The following is a 26,906-nucleotide window of genomic DNA, read 5'->3' as shown; positions in this document are numbered from 1 at the left end:
AGGTAGATGGTGGTGTTGTTAAGGAATATGGGGAAATGGGAAGGAGGGGACTGTGTGGTGGTGAGACCAATACCAAAGGCACTCAATGTTTATTTCTAGGGAAATGAAAACAATTCAAAAGGCACTTGGAAATTATGTCTCTCACAGACTAGAAGGACAAAACACAGATTTCACTCTCCTGTTGCCCACACAGTGACAGACTGCCTACTCCCAGAAATTCAGAAATCAAGTTTTCTAAGTCATTAGATACTATTTAGATAACAGGAAAACAACCTAATAAACCTAAAAATCTGTCTATAACAGCTGTTATTCTATACTTTCTTGTAGGGCAGGATGAGGCAGAATTATTTGGTTGATAACTATTTTAAAGAGCCTATGAAACTCTAAAAGTCCTATCAACTTCTCCCCAAAGCACATGACCATATAACTTTCCCTTCTGATGTCATTTATTTGACTAATCAACTACAGAAAAATAACTTTTTAAAAATAATAAATGACATTCTGCCCCAGGATTTTTAAAAATGCTGTTAATAGTTCCAATAAGAAATATTTACAATTATGACTCATTTTTGAACAACAGGTAATTGTCTTACAGTCCTTCTGAAAATCAGCAGAATAATAACTAACTAAGGACAGCTTCTACATATGTACTGCAGCTACACCCTTAATAAAACCTGGTCACAAAACATAACAAAGCAAAAATGAAATTCAAAACAGGCTCCAGGCTGCTGCAAAGTACTGTTGACTAAAGAAGCCACAAGATGAACCTTTTACTCATTGAAGGAAGCAGATGTGTTTCCATGTATAATGTATATTTTTAAAAGCAATTATTTTATATATAGAATGTGATTTAATAAAAACCACCTTCTAACTGCAGACTTGTAAACAGGAACCACAAAGGGGTGTCTTTGCCAACATGCAAAGCCCTGTGCATAAATGCAAAGCCTGTCAACAAAAATGATGTGTTTCTTTTTCTATTCTCCTAAGCTTAAAAAAAACTGTAATTGAATGCAATGGTTAGCTGAAAGGGCACAGATAAAAACCATGTAAATTGTTAGCCATCTATTAGATATAAGCGTGTCATGCATAATACAAAAGGTGGTGTTTCCTATGGAAATCTATTTTGAGATGCTTCCGTTTAAAGGCAACTGAGAGGTCAAAATCAAGTTCTACTGAAAAGAATTAAGAGTCCAAGCAAATAATATAAAAATGGACCAAGGCATTTAGGAAAGAGAGGACCTGTGCTAAATCTTAATTCCAGACCAGCACAATGGTTCCAAATTCAGGCCAGTTATGAGCCATGAAGTCACTCAAGGAACCAGGCAGAAACCACTGGCCAGAAGAAATAGGCTGTCAAAGGCAGGCATGAGATGTGAAAGTGGGCATCCCGGGACCATTCCTGCCACGAAGCTGCATGCTCCTGCAGGCTTGCTTAACTGACTCAGTTCAGAACTGTATCGGCCAACAGCTGTGCCTGCACGGACTCCAGGCCAAGCTGAATCACATCTAATTACAGTTGCTGAGTTCATTCTCAGACAACATGATTAGAATGCTTTAAGAATTCGTGGTAAAGATGGCCGGGCCCAGTGGCTTATGCGTGTAATCCCAGCACTTTGGAAGGCTAAGGTGGGTGGATCATTTGAGCCCAGGAGTTTGAGACTAGCCTGGACAACATGGTGAAACCCTGTCAGTACTAAAAGTCCAAAAATAAGCTGGGTGTGGTGGCGCATGCCTGTAATCCCGGCTACTCAGGAGGCTGAGGCAGGAGAATTGCTTGAACCTGGGAGGTGGAGGTTGCAGTGAGCCACGATTGTACCACCACACTCCAGCCTGGGCTACAGAGTGAGACTCTGTCTCAAAAAAAACAAACAAAAAGAATTAATGGTAAAGATGTACCTCAATGAATATTCCATTTCATTGCCCAGTAATAAATTTCTAGCTTTTTACAACATAAATATTGACAAAGACATACATGACCACCTTATCTGAAAGCTGGATTGTATAATTTTATCTAGTGGAGAAAAACATACTCTTCTTCATTTCAATATGCTAAATGTTAATATGGCTCAATAACAGATGCTTTTGGTATCCACAACATACTCTAACATGTTTTATATCACTAAAAACTTCACTAACAACTTACTCATTTCAAGATATTCATAAAATAATCCCAGTTTGCCCATAGGCTGCAGATGGTAGTCCTGTTCCCATCGTGGGGTTATCTTTTCTGATCCAGAAACTCTGTGAAATCGCCCAATTAGATTCATGATCCAGCTGCCAAAAAGAACAATTTATAAATTAGAACGAATATTATCAGGCCAAGGTCATAAAAATATTTTGCTGCTATCTCAAAGCTGCACAAGTAATCTTCCCAATAAACTATTTTTTTGTTTGCATGCTAAATTTGTTTTTATTTCTGCCTCCTTATTCCAAAATATTTTGAAAAATAGGACTACACACCAGGGTTTACCAAAGCTGCAGCTGCTACTATTTTTTTCTCCTACTTTTTCCCTATGGGCAGCTTAATTTTTAAAAGGCATGTTCCTTTATTTGATTAACTTCAGTTGTTTGTTTTTTCATTTCCCCCTTATCATTCAAAATAGTCTTGCCAGTATGAAAATCAACAGAGAAAACAAGGTAGAGTATGTGAGCTGGTGGTAAGTGCTGTGGAGAAAACTAAGCAGGGCAGGGAGTGCTTGCATTTGTGTCTAGGGAGGTGGCCAGTGAAGGTCTCCTTCAGAATGATGTTGAATAAGGATGTGAAGGAGACAAAGGAGTGGGAAACCTGGGGGAAGAAGTCCCAGGCAGAGGGAACGGTGATGACAGAGACCCTGAGGCAGGAGCAGGTCTCCATGGTTCACAGACAGCACGCAGGGTAGGAATAAGAGACCACTGTCAGGATCTGGGCATTTTTTTCCTCGGAGGGAAATGAGGAGCCATTGGAGGGCACCAAGTAGGAAAGTGACATAATCTGACTTTAGATAAAATAGGTCCAATTCCTATTTTAAGCTGAATCATTTAAGGACCAGAGGAGTGAAACGCCTCCTCCAGGTCATAGTGCAGAGCTAGGAGAAAACAGCCTGGACTGCGTCCCAGCGCTCTGTCCACCCGTGGATACTGCCCCGCTGAGCTACCCACTGTCTCTTTTTTATGTCATGTTTTTTTCCCTATCTCAGAATCCTTGTGGCTAAGTGCTTCCCCCCTTTTTATGGCAATTTGTCTGGAAAAGAAATCTGAGTTGGCAGTAAAATGAGGTGTGCACCTGTGGCATAGAGAACTGTTGTCCCCTCAAGCAACTGCCAGCTTGTGGTTTACCTGTGGAGTCATCAGAAGAGGCATAACAACAACTCCAAATACAGATCTAACATCTGGATACACTGGCTGATTAAACATGTGGGTGTGGACTTCAAACTCTGACAATGAGAAGGCATCGCATGATGGTTAAGGACAGTTATTGCAAGAAAACCAGGCAGACCCTCATCCTCTCCATCACATGTGCACACGTGCACACCCAGCCAGCATAAGACAGGCAGTACAAACGGCTCACTCTGCTGGGTTTCCCACTGCTATTGATCTCAGGGCTCACTTTTCACTGACTGCTACTGAAGCTTTACTCAGGGGAAATTATCTCTACTACAGGAGACGTCTCTGACCTCACAATCTTTCCCCACTTCTTTCTTTTTGATGATGTTAGAGAGGCAGCAGGAGGCTGTGGAAAGTGGATGGGATATGAGTTCAGACACCCCTGAATCTGAATCCACACTCTATTTCTTAGCTGGTTAACTTTGGTAAAAAAATAAAACGGGGTGATAAAACCTACATTGCCCAGGGCTGCTGTCAGGATTAAATGATTCAAAATAGGTAACGGATGTAGCACGTTTCCTAACACATCAAAACCTGCTGAATGGGATTTTCTGTTGAGCAATACAGGCTGCACTGGCTGAGGCCAAGTGTAAATATGGCCTATATTACGTAGACTCTTGGCTCAGTTATCCAGGCCACCTGGATCAGTGGTTCCCACTTCAGCACATACAAGCATGACATGGAATGCTTGTGAGTAGTGCAGCTTCCTGTGCTCCCAACTAAAAGGTCTGAGATAAGCTCCAGAATCTGCAGTTTTGCAGTCATTCCGGGGGGGGGGGGGGGGGTGACTCAGGTAGCACCAAGGACCACACATGTCCATCACCCTTCATGACACCGAACTCTAAGGTCACTGGGTGTGGTTTCTATTTGTTTATACTTTGCTTTGCCTCCCAAACTTCTAGCCTCCGCCTCTTGCTGAATCCTTTCCATGCCCTCAGAGAAGCAGGTCTTTTTCTGTCTGGGCTCTAAATCACATCAAAGCTCAGATTCAGGATGAAACTTCTGTCCTGGCAACTACTTGTGTCAGCTGGCGCTTCCGTCTCATATCAGGTCATCTTAGAAGTCTTTCTTACTAGCTTTCATTTCTGAGTTACAGATGCTGAGCCTCTTGTTTGGTTTTCCTGAGTTGAACCACTCATGTTTGGGTTTTCTATTGGTCTGTGTTTCTAGTGCAGGGAGCTCAATCTTGACTTCACATGAGAATCACCCACAGAACTTTTAGAAAAATATACACACCAGATACGTTTTCCCTGGCCAAGGCTAGAAGCAGGGGTTACAAAATAATTTCCATAGGAATTTACCATGTGTATTGTCATAGCCACATCATAAGTTATGCTTTACTAGGTCCTTATTTTGTACAAAACATGGTGAGAAGCACTTTACATCTCACTTCCTCTTCAACTCCATTATCACATTTAATCCACATAATGGAGATGATCATCATTTCTGTTTAGGACGTTCTACAGTATTCCCACTTGCTAATTTTGAAATACAAGCATCCTTCACTATCTGAATCTATTTTATGTGTCAGTTTACTGTTTCTGAACCTAGAGAGTAAGTGTGGATAGTGAGGGACACCTATATTTAGGACTCTGATTGCCTATAGCTCATCTTCTCTCCAAATCCTATCCTGAGAAGGGACATTTTCTCCTAAAACAGTTCTTTTTTCTTATTATATAAATAAGTATACTTATTTATATAAGAAGAGGCGTTTATGTTACAATATACATGTATAAATGTATATAAAGGAAAATTATAGCTATCTACTAAATACCAAACAATTGATACTACAGACATTTTGGATCCTTAATTCTATTATCTCTGACATTTTGTTATAAAAATTTCTCCAGAGTGAGTTAACACAGGAATTATACTAGCCTTTTATTAAGAACAGAATAAAATCCCCAGGAATACCTTAAATATCAAAACACTAAGGTGGAGCTGGGAAGGCCAAAGGGCTCTGAGCTTGCTCTCCGGGTCTCACTGACAACTCTGTAATTTACTGATGTGATGTATCTGAAGCATACAAGGCACTTATTCATTCACTCAGCTGCTTCATACTGAGTCCCTGTCATATGCCAGGTACTGGGGAGGCCCCAAAAGGAACCTGGATCCCTGAGCCAGATATGCTCCTTTCCTTGTTGCAAGAATCCTAGTCAAGGGGTATGGGCCCAAAGGCGGGAGAGGAAGGAAGGAAGAGGAGGGTACATGTGTGGTGAAACATTTCTCCATGTTTCTCTTGACACACTTACACGATGTGAAAACAACTGCTGACTTATAAGGCTTTTCTCTATCTATTTTTGGGGGGTGGGTATAGTTTTGGATAGAAAGGATAACTGATATATCTTTTTTTTTTCTTCGAGATGGAGTTTCGCTCTTGTTGCCTAGGCTGGAGTGCAATGGTGCGATCTCGGCTCACTGCAACCTCCGCCTCCAGGTTCAAGCAATTCTCCTGCCTCAGCCTCCTGAGTAGCTGGGATTACAGGCATGCACCAAATGTCTGGCTAATTTTGTATTTTCAGTAGAGATGGGGTTTCTCCATGTTGGTCAGGCTGGTCTCGAACTCCCGACCTCAGGTGATCTGACCACCTTGGCCTCCCAAAGTGCTGGGATTACCAGTGTGAACCACAGCACCTGGCTGATATATCTTTGATAAATTAGGACTTTGTATAAAAAAGTTAAGAAAACTGGCACCTACACAAAGAGAAGCAGCACCAGTCACTCTCTAATTTGGCTAACACTCAGCATTCTCAGTTTTCAAACAAGAAAACATAGGGGGAGAAATTTGAAGGCAAAGTTCATATCACTGTAATTTTCAACAATGAGCTTACTTGAAGTGAAAGTATAAACCACGGATAGTATAATTCATCCTTTAAAATATTTCATGTGAACAAATTTCATTTCATATGAATTTCTCAATTCCAGTTTAGGAAATAGCTGCTAAAAACCAATGTTACCGAAACATAGTGTTAAATAATTAACCTACTTTTTTCAGAAAACCCTTTTTAATCTCAGAATGGATTAAGACTTTCCTCAATTTTATATATTTGTTTTCATCTAGAAACACAGTACTATTTATGCATGACCTACTTTTACTTATCTGGAAAAATCTGAATATGAGCTCAATGAAAGTGAGGGTTGTTTTCTCCGGAGTAGGATAAAAAAAAAAAAAGAATTTCACAGCTAAAGCCAGAATCCCTTTCTGGGTGGGGGAAGAGGAAGGAGAGAGATCTTTGTTTAGAGAAAGACCCTGACAGTTTCCATTGAAGATGGAGAATAAGACCTGTTAAAGAAATCTGGAAGGAGGCACTGAAACCCGGAGTGAGTTAACTGCTCAATAAAGAGAATGAACAGAAACTTGGTGACTGGGGAGAAAAAAGCCAGGAGTAGGAGAAGAAAGGAGAGAGAAGTTGTATGTGATGGAGGCAAGAGGGCAACATGGCAGGAGGCGAGAGCCTGTAAAGAAGGGTGATAAATTTTAAAAAATTCCCAGCTATATAGTGGGATAAAAGACTTTTTATAAAGGTAGAGGTTTTTTATTTCTAAACAAGGGAAGAGGTGGTGGGGGAGATGAGAGGAGGAGGACAGGGGGAAGAAGACAGAAGGCGGGAGAGGTGACTACAGAAGATAGTCACAAACACGAAACTTTGCTGGCTTTAAGATGGAGAAGAGGTTACAAGGCAGGGAGCATAGATGGTGGCCTCCAGAAGCTAGGAAAGGCAAAGAGATTCACCCCAGAGCCCTTGGAAATGAACACAGCCCCACTAACACCTTGATTTTAGTCCAGTGAGACTTCTGACCCCCGGGACCATAAAATATTACATGTTATTTTTATCCCATTAATCTTGGGGTAATTTGTTATAGCAGCAATAGAAAACCCAAACAAAAAGCTCCCTGAAATTTGCAGAAATTGCAGATGGTGTTGGACTTTACACTTTGATAGTGGAGGGGGCCTAAGTGAAAATTGTAAAGGGCAATGAAATCTTAGTTAACATTTGAAGTACAACTATTCTGTTGTTCTCATTTTTTAGGAAAACAACAGTAAGTCAAAGCCTTTGTGATTATTATTTTAGACAATTATTTCTTAAAACATTATATATCCTAGTGCCTTAGGATCATGAAAGAACCTCTATTCTTAAAAGTTTGTACTCATGGGATCCTGGATTTGAATCCTACAGTAGTCTCTTAATGCTAATGTGAAACTGGGTAAATCATTTAACCTCTTTAAACCACAGATCTTCATTAGTAAAAAGGAGATAAAAATAAGGATAGTTTGGTAGATTAAATGATGTATATATATATATAGCACTTAATATAGTGACTGGAATTCATACTGACTTTTAAATGCATAATATATAGGAAAGAGAGGAGAAGGATATGAGGATATAAGAAATTGTGGAAATACACAGTTCACAGCTCTAACCAGTGCTGTCGCTCAAAGGGTTGTGATTAGTCAGTCACCAACAATAGCCCAGTAGGTATAAACTCTAGCAGATGGGGATTTACATTAAATATAATGAAGGTTTTAAAATACAATTATTAGATCCTGGATACATTTGCATTGTTGGTTGGACTATGTTGTCTGGAGACCTTTAATGACAACAGATTCTGATCCATTTAGAGGTGGACATGCAGCTATGTGGCTATGTGGCTATGTAGGCAAATGATTTGTGTGGATGGGCTGTTCTATCCCTTGTCCTTTTACCCATGGCTATACAATTTAACACTCACGGCAATAATACTTCTTGTATGTTATTCCAGATTGCTTTTCCTCCCATGATTATTGTCAGCTGAGTTGTCAGTTCAAGAAGACAGCCACCTGGGTCACACTAGAAGGTTAAAAAGAAAATACCATTTAAATATTCAATGGATCTAACTTGAAATATAGGCATTCTATTTTTCTGACATTTGTTCTGTTTAGGCTAAAAAATAAATCTAAGGAATTTACAATAAAAAACTATTCATTTGGGCAACTGAGAGAAAACTCAGCTTAAACTGGCAAGATAATACAATTATATATTCATACCTCTTCATTTCTGTATTTTCCCAACCAATAAACTGGGTCTCCTGGATAGCCTACAAATTTGCCCTTAAAGAATGCTATGTAGAAGCATGAAGAGTAGTAGTTGACAAACTGGAATAAGAACATCTTCATGGTGAGGCTGTTCTCATAATCAGTCTGGGTCCTTGGGAGTTCTGTAGTTAAAAGAAAGAGAAATAAGATTTTAAAATTGTGAACAGCTTTGAGACTCTAATAAAAAATACTGATACATGAGTTAACACGTTAAACACGTTAAAAAAATACAATTCACACTGTTTCCATTTAAGCTGTTTTGAATTCCTTAATATAGCCACTGTGTTAATTCCAAGTTTGCACATTGTTATGAGTTCTCCCTCACAGTAGGAATACAATAGCCCACATGTTCCCCCCTGCCCCACAAAAAAATCAACTGTTCCTTAAAATTTACAAGTCCAGTGTTATCAAATAAGAACTGCCATGGGTATAATTGACAGAAAATTATTTTTGAACTGCCTGCTAAATGATATTCTCTTGTTTTCCTGAATTGCGATAAGGTAGGTCTATTGAAGAAAACAAGCAAACCAAGGTACAACTTGCTAGAGGCATTTGGGAAAAACAAAATAGGTCATCCTCCTAGTGTGGAGTTTGCATCAGTTTGATCATTTTAGATGATCACCGAGCAGGCCATTCAGGGAACGACTCAGACGTATGCAGTGTGGGAAGCACTTAACTTGGCCACTAAACAGCTGCCTGGGATACAAGCCAGAGAGAAGAAACACATTAAAAAATCAAGGGCTGATGAGAATTATATTAATATGAACAGCACAGCACAGGGAAGACACGTAGCAGTGTGATAGCTTGTCCTCTCAGCAACCGAGGAACATATTTGCCACCGGAACCATGACCCTATTCCACTTATTTGCAATAAAGAGACTATTGACTTTCAACAATAGAGTACATGATCTAATGTAATTGAAAATATTATTCAGCACTGATCTGTTTACAGAGAGCTTGGACGTTATGATGATTGTCTTTGCTTTGTCCCTTTTACTAATGCAAAGCTGTAGATAATTTATTTCCATACATGCTAGAGAAAATATGTTTACACTTGAAAATTTCTAAAAATTGTAACCTACTGGAATTGAAACGCCTAAAAGATAACAGTCTCTATTTTTGGCAGGTTCTAAAAATATGTCAGAAGTTACCTAAGCTATAGTAGGACCTTACCGAAGTTAGTAATCATAATTGCCACTTTTTCATATATGGTGTTCAGAATCATGATAATTATAAAGCTGATGATGGAGGCCGTGATGGACGTGGCTGTCTGTGGAGTCAGGTATTTCTGGATTGGGTCTGTTCCATTAATGTTCTTGGGAAGTTTTGCAGAAAATACAATGAACACCGAGAGCCTATAGACAATGATCCCAATAACTGAAGCGATGATCAATAGGATCTGAAAGCACAACAAACACAGTAGCATGAGACTCACCAATAACTGCACTTGTACTATTAAAAACTGAACTCACACTTAACAAGGTGTGTGTGTAAAGTGATGTAAATCTCACATAAGTGATACCAGCGGTGGTAGAAAGTCTGGCATGTTAAATTTTTTAAAAAGAAAAAGGAATGATGGAAGTGAAAAGAAGGCGCATCCACATATGTAAAACATTAACTAGAGGAGAAACTGGGTGCAGGGGGTGGTGGGAAGGAACTGGAAACTATTTTATGTGCAATTTTTCTGTAAACCTAAAATTGCTCTAAAAAAAGTCTATTTAAAAAAGAGTATCTTCAGACAGCATAAAAATGGAACAACTAGTAGCATACTCTGGTAGAAGGAAAAAAATGAGTGTAGAACCAAAGAAAACATCCCTTCTACAATTACTAAATTATTTAAGTTGTGAGTTAATGTTTTTTGCTCACTCATACTCCATGAGGGAGCTACATTTCCTTGCAACAGAAAAGCTATCACCAATTGAAGTGTCAGCAGGTGCTAGCTTTTGTCTTAATCACTGTAGCAGGGGAGAGTCTGAGCACTGCCAGTGAAGCTGGCACAGAGGTGCCCTGAGCTAACTGTTGGTACTGGCAGCAGGTCTCTGCTGATAAAAGCTTCACACACTTTTCACACTCAGATCTTACGACCTTAAACTGGCAGTCATTTGTACTTGTATTTCCACAAGATTCACGCCACTAGTCCACTGTATTTTTGACTGCATAATCCCCAGTAAGAGATTTTCACTTTCTCAGTAAGCAGATTTCTCACCACTCAACGACGCACATTAAAGGCGCCATGAATTTTCCTTACTTGATACACAGTACTAGACACTATTGGAGAGGCATCTTTAAACTGTTTCCCCTACATCTACTTTCTCCAGAACCATGCACTCAAGGTGTGTGACTGCTCGTGATGACAGAAAAGTTTCAGAGAAGGGAAACTGAGGACCAAGCAAACCATATCTTGTTGTTGATAGTAACAGAGGCCAGTTGTCACCTGTGGAGAGCAGTAAAGGGAGTGATTACAGGATGGTCCTGGGGCTAGATTTCTCTATTTGAGTACAAGCTCCACTGGGGCTTCAATATCTTCTCTTGTGTATTAGGAATACTATGGCACCTAACCTATGGAGTTGTTGAGGATTCAATGAGTTACTTCAGGTAAAAACAGAATATTAAGCTCAGATACATGAAAAGCACCAAATAAGTATTAGCTATGATTATAGCAACCAAAGTTAAGTGTTAAAAAAGATGTTTTTCTTGCTCTTTAAGAAATCTGCTTGTAGAGAAGGCATTACATTTCTCCTGTAATCTATTTCCTTTCGCAGTTAAGTCTCAACACTTGTGAGATGAGTAAGATTTGTGTGTATATGTAAAAATTAGATAAGGCTGAGAAAAATTAAAAAGATGAATCAAGTCATCCTCTCTTAGCACAATACATACAGGGTGTTTATTATGTGTTTTTAAAAATTATCTCCATAATGTTTATTATTAATGATAAAGATAACATTCTTTAAGTGCTCTCTGTTCACCTTAGCACATGTATATTTGTTTAATCTCATAACAGGCTTGTGAGGAAGGTAGTATAATATTATCTCTCTTTTACTGATGAGAAAAGAGAGGCTCAAAGACATTAAGCAATATGTCCAAGATTAGATAACTAGTAAAAAGAATTGGGGTCTCCTAAGATTCTGAAGACACACTCACCTCTCCATGGCACTGCCTCCCACGTGGTTTATGAAATGAATTCTAATTCATCCCAGAGCTTTTACAAACTTGTTAAGTTCCCATATTTCTTTGGGGTGCTTCCCATACTTCAATATTTCTTCATAGGGGCAGGAAGCTTTTTATTCTTTTTCCTCAAGTTTATAACTTATTTCTGATTCTAACATTAATACTTTTCTGATCATAACTTTAGTATAAGGTCACTGTGGACAATCTGAAAGTACCTTGTAGTGAACACTGATTGCTTTTGCTAGCCTGGGTCTGTTCTCCATCCTAGAAGAGAACCCAGATTTTGCTTCAGGGGAAAGAACTCCTCTGTTTTTAGCCCTGGGGTTTAGGTGGGATTGCCCTGATGTGCTCCAGAGGTACAACCTGATTGGTTTGAGACAAACATGTAACATCCCACCGGACTCAGCAACTGATCCAGGGATTGACACATAACTCAGTAACAGCCACTGAGAAGTGAGGAGACATCTGTTAGTGCCCATGGGAAAGAGAAGCTTCACCCATCAATAGAGAAAGCCATTAAAAAAAAGACCTCGGCCAGGCGCGGTGGCTCACGCCTGTAATCCCAGCACTTTGAGGGGCTGCGGCGGGCAGATCATGAGGTCAGGAGTTCCAGACAAGCCTGGCCAACATGGTGAAACCCCGACTGTACTAAAAATACAAAAATTAGCTGGGCGTGGTGGCAGGTGCCTGTAATCCCAGCTACTGGGGAGGCTGAGACAGGAGAATCACTTGAACGCGGGAGGCGGAGGTTGCAGTGAGCTGAGACCACGCATTGCACTTCAGCCTGGGCGACAGAGCGAGAACCTGTCTCAAAAAAACAAAAAACAAAACAAAAAAACAAAAAACCTCCCTTGGCTTGGAAGATGTGACATCTGAAATGCTTCAGCCATTCTGCTACCACAAGGAAGTGTCCAGACCCACCATGCCCAGGAGGCCAGCTGACACAGGATGAAAGGAACAAAACACAGCCCTTGACAATATCTGGTCTGCAGTTATCTAGCTTTGACTGGAGCCATACCTCAGGCCTGGAATTTTCAGTTTCAGAGAATAAATAGGTGGAAAGAATAAATCCCACCTCCCCCTCTTTTGCTGTTGTTTAAACCGACTGAAGACCGATTTTCTGCCAAGCATAACTCAAAGATTTCTAACAAAAATAACATTAAATAGGAAAAAATTTATCTACTATCTACATGTGGGCACAATTCCTTCAGGATTATGTATGCATTGTATGCATATTTAAAACCACTTTACATATTTTATCCTTCCCTTAAACCTATCATAAACCATAAGCATTTTTATGTGCCTTAAAAAATCTTCATGACCATACTTTCTCATCGCCGCACAACATTCCACTGTTTGAAGGTTGAGAAGTAGAATATTTTGGTTGATATATATGTTTATGTATATATGTGTGTATATAAATATATACATAAATGTTGTGATAAGTATGTGAAAAAATCTTACTTTTACTGACCATTTTCAAATATTTCCTGATTGAAAGTCCTAAGAGCTAAATTAGTGGATTAAAGCATATGAATATTTTTGAGACTTGAAACACAATTGCTAAGCTGCCTTCTACGAAGCTGGAGCAGTGCAGAATTACAATAGTCTTGTATTGGAGTAGTTGACTGTTGTACTTCATCCTCACAGACACTGAGTCCTATCATTCAAGAGGTGAAAAATCATATCTCACTTTAATGTGAGTGGATTTAATCACTATTGAGATTTGGCATTTTGTAATGGTTATTGGTCATCATATTTTTTTCCTTTGTAATTGCACATTAATGTTCTGTCTCTTTAGCCACTGAGATCTTTGGTGTTATCTTCTAGATGATCTGGACTCCACGTATTAAAGGTATTGACCTCTTGTTTGCCCTATTGTTAACAAATATATCTTCTGGTATTTTGTTTACATTTAGGATACTTTTGATGTATAGAAATATTTAAATGTTTTCCTCTGAAACGTTTTCTATTGCTAGTACATTTAGAAAACGTTTTTACTTCTAAAGATCATATAGTCATCAAATTTATTTGTAGTTTTTTTTTATACTTTAAGTTCTAGGGTACACGTGCACAACGTGCAGGTTTGACACATAGGTATACACGTGCCATGTTGGTTTGCTGCACCCATCAACTCATCGTTCACATTAGGTATTTCTCCTAATGCTATGCTTCCCCTAGCCCCCCACCGCCCAACAGGCCCCACTATGTGATGTTCCCCACGGTGTCCAAGTTATCTCATTGTTCAATTCCCACCTATGAGTGAGAACATGCGGTGTTTGGTTTTCTGGCCTTGTGATAGTCTGCTCAGAATGATGGTTTCCAGCTTCATCCATGTCCCTGCAACAGACATGAACTCATCCTTTTTTATGGCTGCATAGTATTCCATGGTGTATATGTGCCACATTTTCTTAATCCAGTCTATCATTGGTGGACATTTGGGTTGGTTCCAAGTCTTTGCTATTGTGAATAGTGCTGCAATAAACATATATGTGCATGTTTCTTCATAGTAGTATGATTTATAATCTTTTGGATATATACCCAGTAATGGGATTGCTGGGTCAAATGGTATTTCTAGTTCTACATCCTTGAGGAATCTCCACACAGTCTTCCACAATGGTTGAACCAATTTACACTCCCAACAGTGTAAAAGCATTCCTATTTCTCCACATCCTATCCAGCACCTGTTGTTTCCTGACTTTTTAATGATCACCATTCTAACTGGTGTGAGATGGTATCTCATGGTGGTTCTGACTTGCATTTCTCTGATGACCAATGATGATGAGCATTTTTTCATGTGTCTGTTGGCTGTGTAGATGTCTTCTTTTGAAAAGTGTCTGTTCATATGCTTTGCCCACTTTTTGATGGGGTTGTTTTCTTGTAAATTTGTTTGAGTCCCTTGTAGATTCTGGATATTAGCCCTTTGTCAGATGGGTAGATTGCAAAAATTTTCTCCCATTCTGTAGGTTGCCTATTCACTCTGATGGTAGTTTCTTTTGCTGTGCAGAAGCTCTTTAGTTTAATTAGATCCCATTTGTCTATTTTGGCTTTTGTTGCTATTGCTTTTGGTGTTGCTATTGCTTTGGTGTTGAAGTCCTTGCCCATGCCTATGTCCTGAATGGTATTGCCTAGGTTTTCTTCTAGGGTTTTTATGGCTTTAGGTCTAACATTTAAGTCTTTAATCCATCTTGAATTAATTTTTGTACAAGGTGTAAGGAAGGGATCCAGTTTCAGCTTTCTACATACGGCTAGCCAGTTTTCCCAGCACCATTTATTAAATAGTGAATCCTTTCCCCATTGCTTGTTTTTGTCAGGTCTGTCAAAGATCAAATGGTTGTAGATGTGTGGTGTTATTTCTGAGGCCTCCGTTCTGTTCCATTGGTCTATATCTCTGTTTTGGTACCAGTACCATGCTGTTTTGGTTACTGTAGCCTTGTAGTATAGTTTGAAGTCAGGTAGCGTGATGCATCCAGCTTTTTTCTTTTTGCTTAGGATTGTCTTGGCAATGCAGGCTTTTTGGTTCCATATGAACTTTAGTTTTTTCCAATTCTGTGAAGAAAGTCATTGGTAGCTTGATGGGGATGGCACTGAATTTATAAATTACTTTGGGCAGTATGGCCATTTTCACGATATTGATTCTTCTTATCCATGAGTGTGGAATATTCTTCCATTTGTTTGTGTTCTCTTTTATTTCGTTGAGCAGTGGTTTGTAGTTCTCCTTGAAGAAGTCCTTCATATCCCTTTTAAGTTGGATTCCTAGGTATTTTATTCTCTTTGTAGCAATTGTGAATGGGAGTTCACTCATGATTTGGCTCTTCGTTTGTCTCCTAATGGTGTATAGGAGTGCTTGTGATTTTTGCACATTGATTTTGTATCCTAATATTTTGTTGAAGTTGCTTATTAGCTTAAGGAGATTTTGGGCTGAGATGATGGGGTTTTCTAAATATAAAATCATGTCATCTGCAAACAGGGACAATTTGATTTCCTCATTTCCTAATTGAATACCCTTTATTTCTTTCTCTTGCCTGACTGCCCTGGCCAGAACTTCCAACACTATGTTGAATGGGAGTGGAGAGAGAGGGCATCCTTGTCTTGTGCCAGTTTTCAAAGGGAATGCTTCCAGTTTTTGCGCATTCAGTATGATATTGGCTGTGGGTTTGTCATAAATAGCTCTTATTATTTTGAAATATGTTCCATCAATACCTAGTTTATTGAGAGTTTTTAGCAGGAAGGGCTATTGAATTTTGTCAAAGGCCTTTTCTGCATCTATTGATATAATCATGTGGTTTTTGTCACTGGATCTGTTTATGTGATAGATTACGTTTATTGATTTGCATATGTTGAACCAGCCTTGCATCCCAGGGATGAAGCCTACTTGATCGTGTTGGATAAGCTTTTTGATGTGCTGCTGGATTCGGTTTGCCAGTATTTTATTGTGGATTTTCACATCGATGTTCATCAGGGATACTGGCCTAAAATTCTCTTTTTTTGTTGTGTCTCTGCCAGGCTTTGATATCAGGATGATGCTGGCCTCATAAAATGAGTTAGGGAGGATTCCCTCTTTTTCTATTGATTGGAATGGTGTCAGAAGGAATGGTAGCAGCTCCTCTTTGTACCTCTGGTAGAATTTGGCTGTGAATCCTTCTGGTCCTGGACTCTTTTTGGTTGGTAGGCTATTAATTATTGCCTCAATTTCAGAGCCTGTTATTGATCTATTCAGAGATTCAACTTCTTCCTGGTTTAGTGTTGGGAGGGTGTATGTGTCCAGGAATTTATCCATTTCTTGTAGATTTTCTGGTTTATTTGCATAGAGGTGCTTATAGTATTCTCTGATGGTAGTTTGTATTTCTATGGGATCAGTGGCAATATCCCCTTTATCATTTTTTATTGCATCTACTTGATTCTTCTCTCTTTTCTTCTTTATTAGTCTTGCTAGCCGTCTACCAGTTTTGTTGATCTTTTCAAAAAACCAGCTCCTGGATTCACTGATTTTTTGAAGGGTTTTTTGTGTCTCTTATCTTTTTCAGTTCTGCTCTTAGTTATTTCTTGCCTTCTGCTAGCTTTTGAATGTGTTTGCTCTTGCTTCTCTAGTTCTTTTAATTATGATGTTAGGCCGTTGATTTTAGATCGTTCCTGCTTTCCTTTGTGGGCATTTAGTGCTATAAATTTCCCTCTACACACTGCTTTAAATGTGTCTCAGAGATTCTGGCATGTTGCGTCTTTGTTCTCATTGGTTTCAAAGAACATCTTTATTTCTGCCTTCATTTCATTATGTACCCAGTAGTCATTCAGGAGCAGGTTGTTCAGTTTCCATGTAGTTGTGCAGTTTTGAATGAGTTTCTTAATCCTGAGTTCTAGTTTGATTGCACTGTGGTCTGAGAGACAGTTTGTTGTGATTTCTGTTCTTTCACATTTGCTGAGGAGTGCTTTACTTCCAATTATGTGGTCAATTTTAGAATAAATGTGATGTGGTGCTGAGAAGAATGTATATTCTGTTGTTTTTGGGTGGAGAGTTCTGTAGATGTCCATTAGGTCTGCTTGTTGCAGATCTGAGTTCAGGTCCTGGATATCCTTGTTAACCTTCTGTCTTGTTGATCTAATATTGACAGTGGGGTGTTAAAGTCTCCCATGATTATTGTGTGGGAGTCTAAGTCTCTTTGCAGGTCTCTAAGGACTTGCTTTATGAATCTGGGTGCTCCTTTATTGGGTACATGTATATTTAGGATTCTTAGCTCTTCTTGTTGAATTGATCCCTTTACCATTACATAATGGCCTATTTTGTCTCTCTTTTGATCTTTGTTGGTTTAAAGTCTGCTTTATGAGAGACTAGGATTGCAACCCCTGCTTTTTTTTGCTTTCCATTTGCTTGGTAGATCTTCCTCCATCCCTTTATTTTGAGCCTATATGTGTCTTTGCACATGAGATGGGTCTCCTCAATTCAGCACACTGATGGGTCTTGACTCTTTATCCAATCTGCCAGTCTGTGTCTTTTAATTGGGGCATTTAGCCCATTTACGTTTAAGTTTAATATTGTTATGTGTGAATTTGATCCTGTCATTATGACATTCGCTGCTTATTCTGCCCGTTAATTAAAGCAGTTTCTTCATAGGATCGACGGTCTTTACAATTTGGCATGTTTTTGCTGGGGCTGGTACCGGTTGTTCCTTTCCATGTTTAGTGCTTGTTTCAGGAGCTCTTGTAAGGCAGGCCTGGTGGTGACAAAATGTCTCAGCATTTGCTTGTCTGTAAAGGATTTTATTTCTCCTTCACTTATGAAGCTTAGTTTGGCTGGATATGAAATTCTGGGTTGAAAATTCTTTTCTTTAAGAATGTTGAATATTGGCCCCCACTCTCTTCTGGCTCGTAGGGTTTCTGCCAAGAGATGTGCTGTTAGTCTGATGGGCTTCCCTTTGTGGGTAACTCGGCCTTTCTCTCTGGCTGCCCTTAACACTTTTTCCTTCATTTCAACCTTGGTGAATCTGACAATTATGTGTCTTGGGGTTGCTCTTCTCAAGGAGTATCTTTGTGGTGTTCTCTGTATTTCCTGAATTTGAATGTTGGCCTGCCTTGCTAGGTTGGGGAAGGTCTCCTGGATAATATCCTGCAGAGTGTTTTCCAACTTGGTTCCATTCTCTCTGTCACTTTCAGATACGCCAATCAAACACATATTTGGTCTTTTCACATAGTCCCATATTTCTTGGAGGCTTTGTTCGTTGCTTTTTACTTTTTCCTCTAACCTTGTCTTCTCTCTTTATTTCATTAATTTGATCTTCAATCACTGATACCCTTTCTTCCACTTGATCGAATTGGCTACTGAAGCTTGTGCATGCAACACAAAGTTCCCGTGCCATGGTTTTCAGCTCCATCAGGTCATTTAAGGTCTTCTCTACATTGTTTATTCTAGTTAGCCATTTGTCTAACGTTTTTTCAAGATTTTTAGCTTCCTTGCGATGGGTTAGAACATTATCTTTTAGCTAAGAGAAGTCTGTTATTACCGACCTTCTGAAGCCTACTTCTGTCAACTTGTCAAAGTCATTCTCTGTCCAGCTTTGTTCCGTTGCTGGCGAGGAGCTGTGATCCTCTGGAGGGGAAGAGATGCTCTGATTTTTATAATTTTCAGCTTTTCTGCTGGTTTCTCCTCATCTTTGTGGTTTTATCTACCTTTGGTCTTTGATGTTGGTGACCTACAGATGGGGTTTTGGTGTAGATGACCTTTTTGTTGATGTTAATGCTATTCCTTTCTGTCTGTCTGTTTTCCTTCTAACAGTCAGGTCCCTCAGCTGCAGGTCTGTTGGAGTTCCACTCCAGACCCTGTTTGCCTGGGTATCACCAGCGGAGGCTGCAGAACAGCAAATATTGCTGCCTGATCCTTCCTCTGGAAGCTTCGTCCCAGAGAGGTAGCACCCTATATGAGGTGTCTGTCGGCCCCCAGTGGTAGGTGTTTCCCAGTTAGGCTACACGGGGGTCAGGGACCCATTTGAGGAGGCAGTCTGTCCGTTCTCAGAGCTCAAACGCTGTGCTGGGAGAACCACTGCTCTCTTCAGAGCTGTCAGACAGGGACATTTAAGTCTGCAGAAGTTTCTGCTGCCTTTTGTTCAGCTATGCCCTGCCCACAGAGGTGGAGTCTGGATGCATTAGGCCTTGTTGAGCTGCGGTGGGCTCTGCCCAGTTTGAGCTTCCTGGCCGCTTTGTTTACCTACTCAAGCCTCAGCAATGGTGGACGCCCCTCCCCTAGCTAGGCTGCCACCTCGCAGATTGATCCCAGACTGCTGCGCTAGCAGTCAGGAAGGCTCCTTGGGCATGGGACCCACTGAGCCAGGCATGGTAGAGAATCACTTTGTCTGCTGGTTGCTAAGACCTTGGGAAAAGTGCAGTATTTGGGCAGGGGGTGTCCCGTTCTTCCAGATAGTCTGTCACGGCTTCCCTTGGCTAGGAAAGGGAAATCGCCCGACCCCTTGTGCTTCCTGGGTGAGGCGATGCCCTGCCCTGCTTCAGCTCGCCCTCTGTGGGCAGCACCCACTGTACAACCAATCCCAATGAGATGAACCAGGTACCTCAGTTGGAAATGCAGAAATTACCCGTCTTCTGTGTTGATCACGCTGGGAGCAGCAGATGGGAGCTGTTCCTATTTGGCCATCTTGGCAACTTCCTTTTTAACATTTTTTTTGAGACAGAGTCTCACTCTGTCACCCAGGCTGGAGTGCAGTGGTGCAGTCTCGGCTCCCTGCAACCTCCACCTCCTAGACTCAAGCAATTCGCCTGCCTCAGTCTCCCAAGCAGCTGAGATCACAGGTGAACACCTGGCTAATTTTTGTATTTTTAGTAAAGACAGGGTTTCGCCATGTTGGCCAGGCTGATCTCGAACTCCTGACCTCAGGTGATCTGCTGCCTTGGCCTCCCAAAGTGCTGGGATTACAGGCGTGAGCCACCATGCCTGGCCTTTAATTTTTTTTTTAATGTTTTTGAAATTTATTATAGTATATGGTTTAAAGTAAGACTTTAACATTTATTGTCCCCCCAAATAGCTAACAAGTATTCCATTACTATTTATTGAATAATCTCCACTTGTCTGATGGATTTATAATGCCTCTTTTCTGACATATTACATTTTTATTGCTATCAGGGGCTATTTCTAGGCTTCATGTGCTATTCTTGAATCTGGCTCTTCTTGAGCCATTAAAACTCACACTAAATTATTACATCACTAATATGATTCCATCAATAAGCCTAAAACTAACTTAGTAAGTACTGATATTTTACAGAAAATGTGTTTCTATCTAGAATCATTCATTTAATTATCATTCATTCAGATCCTTTACAACTTTCAAGAGTTTTTATGTTTTCTTTGATAGTTCCTATTATCTTTTTGTTAAGGGTATTCCTAGACATTTTATTTATTTTTTTTTTGAGATGGAGTCTTGCTCTGTTACCCAGTCGAGTGCAGTGGTGTGATTTTCACTCACTGCAACCTCCGTCTCCTGGGTTCAAGTGACTCTCGTGCCTCAGCCTCCCGAGTAGCTGGGACTACAGGTGTGTGACACCTTGCCTGGCTAATTTTTGTATTTTCAGTAGTGACGGGGTTTCATCATGTTGGCCAGGCTGGTCTTGACTCCTGACCTCAGGTGATCCACCCACCTTGGCCTCCCAAGGTGCTTGGATTATAGGCATGAGCCACCGCCCCTGGCCAACATTTTATTTTGATTGTTGCTGTTGGAAAATTTTAGAATTCTTAATGCCTTCCATTTGGTCTTCACCAGAAACTGGAAAATCCTGAATCACTGATTTAACAGATGAGGTGAAAAGAACTAGAAGAACCTCTGTGAACAGATAAGGTATCTCGAACCTTGGGAGTTGCTCTATGTGGTGGCTAAAATAGTTATCTGGAAATATCTGTCTGTCTCTCTGAGACCATATAGTTTCCAGGCTCAGCATTTAGTTTCCTCAACATTTAAAATTAGATATTAAAAAAATCTGTTACATAATAAAAACATTTTTAATCATTCAAAACATTTTTGTGATAGAATTACCCAGAAAAAGACAGCACTGGCACAGAGGGTTATCCGTATACATTTTCCCCAGGCAGTAAAGGGAATGCGTTCTTCTTCCTAATTACAAAAACAAAAAAGTTTAGTCAATCAAGGGATTACTGTAATAAAATTATTTTTCTCCTGACTCGCCAATAAATCTTAGAATTAATTTTAAAAAATTAGTTTGCAAGCATAGTCTCCTTACTCATAATTGCACTTTTTTGTTAACAATTTCAAAGTCACACATCACAAAACATGTGCAGTGTTCATTTTAATAAGTTTTTGGAAAATGCAAGCATGAATAAACTGTTTATCGGCCACGACCCGAGCTCAGGAATCTGGGTGTCTGATGGTGCCAAGCTGCAAAGCTATACTTCTGGGCTTGTCTTAGGTTTTAGAAATCGCTGTGATGATAGCGCAGAGCACAGGCAGGACAAAAAGTTTCCTAGATGTCTGCAAATACTAGGTATCCACTATGTGTTTCTTGGTTGGGCTTTATATATTAACTTTGAATAAATTTTTAGAGGATTTCCATTTTATAGTTCATAAAAATATATTTAAATTCTTAAGAGTAGAAATCAACCCTCTACATGATTTACCTGTATTGTAAGAGCAGCCTAATAACAGCTGCAAATACTTAAGAGTATTTAACTCTGTGCCAGGCACTATTCTAAGTAGCTTCTATACATTAACTCAATCCTTAGCTGCGATCATGAGGAAACAACTGTATTATTCCCATTTTATAGATGAGGTCACTGAGGCACCGGGAAGTTAACTAATTGGTCCAAGATCACCCAACTAGTAAGTTGCTGTGGTCAGACATGAACTCTGGCATCAGAGACTTCACCATCACACTATAGGCCTCTCTAAACAAAGGGAGGGTATGTGGGCAATGAAAGTGAAACGAGGAATAACCATAAAGAAAAAGGAACCTTCACTTGCAATGTTTTAACAAGTAACACTTCAAGGGAAATTTAACTTATAAGCTGGCAATTTTAACTATAAAATTGGCAGGTTTAAATGACCAAATTGTCTTTTCTTCAGTATTTTTCCCATGTTGCTGGTATTATAAGATTTTTTAGTGCTCAAACTACTTCATAAACATCTAATTTTGTTTAAGTTTTGGCTTTCATTTCTGAATATACAATCTTTCAACAACATATGCTTTGACCCTGTCCTCTCTAGTAAACAGCAGGAACTATTCATAATGGGGATTATTTGAAGCTTTTACATTGCGAAAGACAAATGTCACTTTCTACTGGTAATTGAACCTCGTTTTTTCCCATTTGTAAAAGGAAGAGGTTGAACTGTTCCCTCTGGTTCCTTTTAGTGCCAACATTTTGTAAATCTGTGATTCAATTTATAAAACCTATAGTTGGGAACACTTTCAGACATTCTTGGTAAAAGCATTTTCTTTCCAAGAGCTATTCGTATTCAGAACCTACTGTTCTTATGCTGATGACTGCAAGTACAATCAGCTCAAAGTTTTCTGTGTTGATGGAAAGAAGCAAGAATGCAGATGATTTAAAAATCATCTTTCAGGGACTTTGGAATATTTATACAGACAGAATATAGTTTTTTATCTTTGGAGTAGTGGTAGCAGCAGCAAATCTACCTTTCCAATGACATAAAATACCTAGCACAGTACCTGAACAGAGTTGGACCTCAAAAAATACTTTCCTTCTTCCTCCATCCTTTCTCCAACTTTAGGATAAAGGCCACACTATTTTCTGCACATCCCAACCAGAAGGTGGAGCAGTGACTGAGGCTTACTGCAAGATAAAGGGGCAGCTGGTCTAGGATGAATAAGGGGCTGGAATAATGAAAGTATACGTGAAAAATTGAGAATCAACTATAAAAACCAGTGCCTCTTTCCTTATATCACTATGTCACAGTAAAAATTATTTTTTTGTATTTTTACTGTTTTTATGAAAGAAGGGGCCCCATTTATCTCCTGTGTCTACTGTTCTAAGCAGTGCTTCTTCACTTTGGCTGCACATCAGAATTACCAAAGGAGCTTTAAAAAAAACCCCTGTGCTCAGAATACCCCCAGGTTACTAAGTACCAGAGTATGTAGTGATGGAACTCAGGTATCAATATTTTTTAAGCTCCCCCAAGTGATTCTAATGTGCGGCCAAGGAGGAGAACCACAGCAGTAAGTAGATTAAACTGCACCTAAATACGACCCTGCTTACCTGAGTAATCTCATTTATCACTACGTGAGTACATCGTGCTTCGTATTCTGGTCGGGCTTGTTCTTCCTGCTGTAACTCAACAGTATCCCATTCATACTCAAGTTCTGCCTGGCGTCGCTTCCAAAACTCCAAAAACAAGGTAACTAACAGAGAGACAGAAGAGCTTGTGTGGATTTTCAATGATGACTGATGTTTCAGAAATCTGTACTGAATAATATTAATTATCCATTGTACTGGCCTGTTTTCACACTGCTATAAAGAACTACCTGGACTGGGTAATTCATAAAGGAAAGAGGTTTAATTGACTCACAGTTCTGCATGGCTGGGGAGGCCTCAGGAAACTTAAAATCATGGTGTAAGGTGAAGGGAAAGCAAAACACGTCTTACATGGCAATAGGAGAGAGAGAGCACGGAGGAAAGTGCCACAGCTTTAAACCATCAGATCTCATGAGAACTCACTCACTATCATGAGAACAGGATGGGGGAAATCCAACCCCATGATCCAATCACCTCCCACCAGGCCCCTCCCCTGACACATGGGGATTATAATTCGACATGAGATTTGGGTGGGGACACAGAGCCAAACCATATCATCCATAATACTTTTGTATATGGCAAATCAAATCTAAATTATAGGAGATACTACTATTTAAAAGGGAAAAACATGATTTTAAAGAAAAATGTTGGTAATTTACAACATTATGAAATAGACTATAGATGCTGGGAAAGGCAATGTGATGGTCAGAAGACATGTGAGTATGTCTGACACTGAAGCATATGTTCCAGCACCTTATTGCCAACTAAAACACAAATAATGATCACAGTTCCAAAGGAGCTCATGATCCATCCTTCATCTGCTTTTCCCCGTGCCCTCATTCTTGTACTCTCCTTTCCTTCCTAAGGGCCTACAGGGGAAGAGGAATACTTTAGGATGTCCCAAATAAATTAATATTCATTCATACGGAAAACTAGTATTTTTCTCAATCTTATATAATGTATGACTAAAATAATTTTTTAGGAATCATTTTTCAGAATTTTTAACTTTAAATAGTAAATAAAAACATTAAATGTTAATTGAAAAAATGCAGTTTCAGGGTAAATACCCCATGCCCTTCTTCTAATCAGACTGCGAACCCTAAGTCCTTCCTATAAAAAAATTCTGTAATCACCACTCTTCTATTTACAAACATTCTTTGAGTGTCTACTATCAGCTGGGAATAAAGAGAAAACAAGACACAGTCCCTGCTTCAAGGAGCTCCTAGGCATATGAGAATTATGCTGTCCTTGAACTGACAGGTATAGTTGATTATTAAGAGGGCTATGATAAAGGTAAGCACAGGTTGCTCTGGGCACACAGAACCAGAACATTTAACTGGGTGTTTCGGGGAAGGCCATCCCAGAGGAGGGGACCACAGTGATGAGTCCTGAGATGCCTCAGAGCTGATCAGGTGAAGGTGGTGGTGGGTGGAACACTAAGGCCACCTACCCCCAGGGAGCTGCGCATGCAAAGGCACGGAGGCCAGAGGGCCAGGTACTTTCCCAAAACTGCAAATAATCTGGTAGTAAGTGAAAGGTGTGATGGAGGTGGGGCAGCCAGGTAAGAGCTCTGCAGGGGCACATCACAAAGGGTTTTCTGTGCTTTGAAAGGAGTTTAGAGAGTTTAACGTACAGATGGAGGAGACTTTGAAGGTAGTCTAGAGTGAGACTAGGGGCAGGGAGACCTGCTGGCAGGTACATGATGCAGCAAGATCCTTGAGGGACGTTGAGAAGGCAGACGGATGGATGCAGGTATGACAGATGGATGCAGGTATGACAGAAGGATGCTAGCCAGGTTTCTGACTTAGGCAATATCCTAAATTCTAGTGGCATTCCTTGGAAATAGGAAGTGTCTTAAGAAGGTCAAGTGTGCAAGAGGAGACACCTGGTTTGGTTATGATCAGATGCAATGTATGTGGACTACTCAAGAAGAAATGTCCAGTAGATAGGTAAAAGTCTACAACATAGGAGGAAGATCTGGATTGAGATGGATTTTCATTGTTTTAAGTGGCAATTGGGGCCATGAGAGAATAAGACCATTAAATGAGATGCAGGGTAGTAATCACACCCTGGCTGCAGGTAAGAAGGACCAGGGAGCTTTTACAAAATACTGAGCCCAGGTACCACCCTGTAAATTATAAATTATGATTTTTGGTCTGGAATGGGGCCTGAGCATAGTTGTTTTGTTTGTTTTTGTTTTGTTTTGTTTTTAAGGTTTAATACGCAGTCAGGGTGGAGACTCACTGAAGTAGAGAGTGAAGAGAGCCAGAATGAAATCCTGCAGACCCTGCAGCAGGCAGCCTGAAATGCAGGAGGCAGTCTTGGGATGCACCTGTAAGGAGCAAGAATCCAACACTCCCCAATGGCAAAGACAACTGAACATGTTTAAAAGCACTCACTTCCTAGCAGTGTTTGTTTTGACTACTACTTTTCCAGTAAGTTAGAGTAGAAATAACCTGGATGTTGGAATCAGGATCAAATTGTTGAGTGTTTTATATAGAGGGTGATGGCTACTGAGAAACAACCCAGACATTTGTGCTTCTGTACCTGCCCAAGGGGAAATGAAGTGAGTATTGGCTTCTTTGTCAATGGGATGGAAATCTAGAGGGCACCATGTCCTTTTGTGGACTGACATGTGACTGGCTGGTCTTGGTGCCCAGCTGAGCCATGCTGGTCTCAGGTGGCAGATACTCCCCAAAGAGACCCTGTTGGGAGGAATGAGCCACCCATGAGCCAACCCTCCCTAGGCTGCATATGAAGCAGCATAACATACACCACCCACTTACCAAAGCCCAAGGTTCTGCATCCCCTTGATAAACTCCCATACATCTCCATCAACAGAGGACTCTACTTTTTAATCTACCAAGAATCCTACTGCCAGTATTGCATATGCCCCCACCCCTGAAGCTCCCTCAGCTCTGTCTCCCACTCTGTAATTATGCAATCATTCCAGCGGTCATGTGCATTCTCTCAGAAAGGGCCCATTTTATTCCCTTTGTCAACCCTTCTTCTGCCCTTCAAAATATTAATACATAGCACTCATGCATCCCAACCTATATCTGCTTCTAGGTCTACTGTCTATCATACCCACTGGAATGTCACCTTCACATGTGCAGGGATTTGGTTTTGTTCATAGCAGAAGCACTACGACATAGTAGGCATGTAACGAATGAATGCACTGAATGAACAAACTGAAGGAAACCACCCAGAAACTGGAGGACCCCCACCACCTGGGGAATAATCCACTCAGAGGTCCCAGCTGACTCCAACTGCTCACCTCTACACATAACCACCCACTGTCCTTACTTCCTGCTATGCTAGTCTACTTGGGCCTTCAGTACCTCCTGTACAGATGTACCTTGATTTATCGTGCTTTACAGATAGTGTTTTTATCTTCTTACAAATTGATTGTTTGTGGCAACCCCACGTTGAGCCTCTATCAATGCCATTTTTCCAACAACATGTACCCACTTTGTGTCACATTTTAGTAATTCTCACATTTCAAATTTTTCATTATTATTGTATCTTTTATAGTGGTCTGTG

General features: G+C 40.1%; 1 protein-coding gene and 1 long non-coding RNA gene across 7 annotated transcripts in view; one reads left to right on the top strand and one right to left on the bottom strand.

Annotated features, from left to right (window-relative positions):
• Nucleotides 1-20,939, top strand: part of LOC105369743 (uncharacterized) — a 178,153-nt gene extending 157,214 nt beyond the window's left edge. The window contains exons 6-7 of the long non-coding RNA XR_944886.3: nt 13,407-13,460; nt 20,863-20,939. This is a non-coding gene — a long non-coding RNA (uncharacterized LOC105369743). The remainder of the gene's footprint in view (nt 1-13,406; nt 13,461-20,862) is intronic.
• Nucleotides 1-26,906, bottom strand: part of ANO6 (anoctamin 6) — a 224,310-nt gene that overhangs the window by 28,774 nt on the left and 168,630 nt on the right. For all 6 annotated transcript variants that reach the window (NM_001142679.2, NM_001204803.2, NM_001025356.3 and 3 more), the window contains 6 exons: nt 23,328-23,470; nt 21,133-21,210; nt 9,611-9,836; nt 8,390-8,559; nt 8,095-8,192; nt 2,144-2,274 (listed from right to left, as the gene is read on the bottom strand). In NM_001142679.2, coding sequence (NP_001136151.1) covers nt 2,144-2,274; nt 8,095-8,192; nt 8,390-8,559; nt 9,611-9,836; nt 21,133-21,210; nt 23,328-23,470 — 846 coding nt within the window. The remainder of the gene's footprint in view (nt 1-2,143; nt 2,275-8,094; nt 8,193-8,389; nt 8,560-9,610; nt 9,837-21,132; nt 21,211-23,327; nt 23,471-26,906) is intronic.

Source organism: Homo sapiens, chromosome 12 (genome assembly GCF_000001405.40).
Source record: "Homo sapiens chromosome 12, GRCh38.p14 Primary Assembly".
Lineage (NCBI taxonomy): Eukaryota > Metazoa > Chordata > Mammalia > Primates > Hominidae > Homo > Homo sapiens.
The sequence above is the reverse complement of the archived record's forward strand: the minus strand, read 5'-3'. Positions and strand labels throughout refer to the sequence as shown.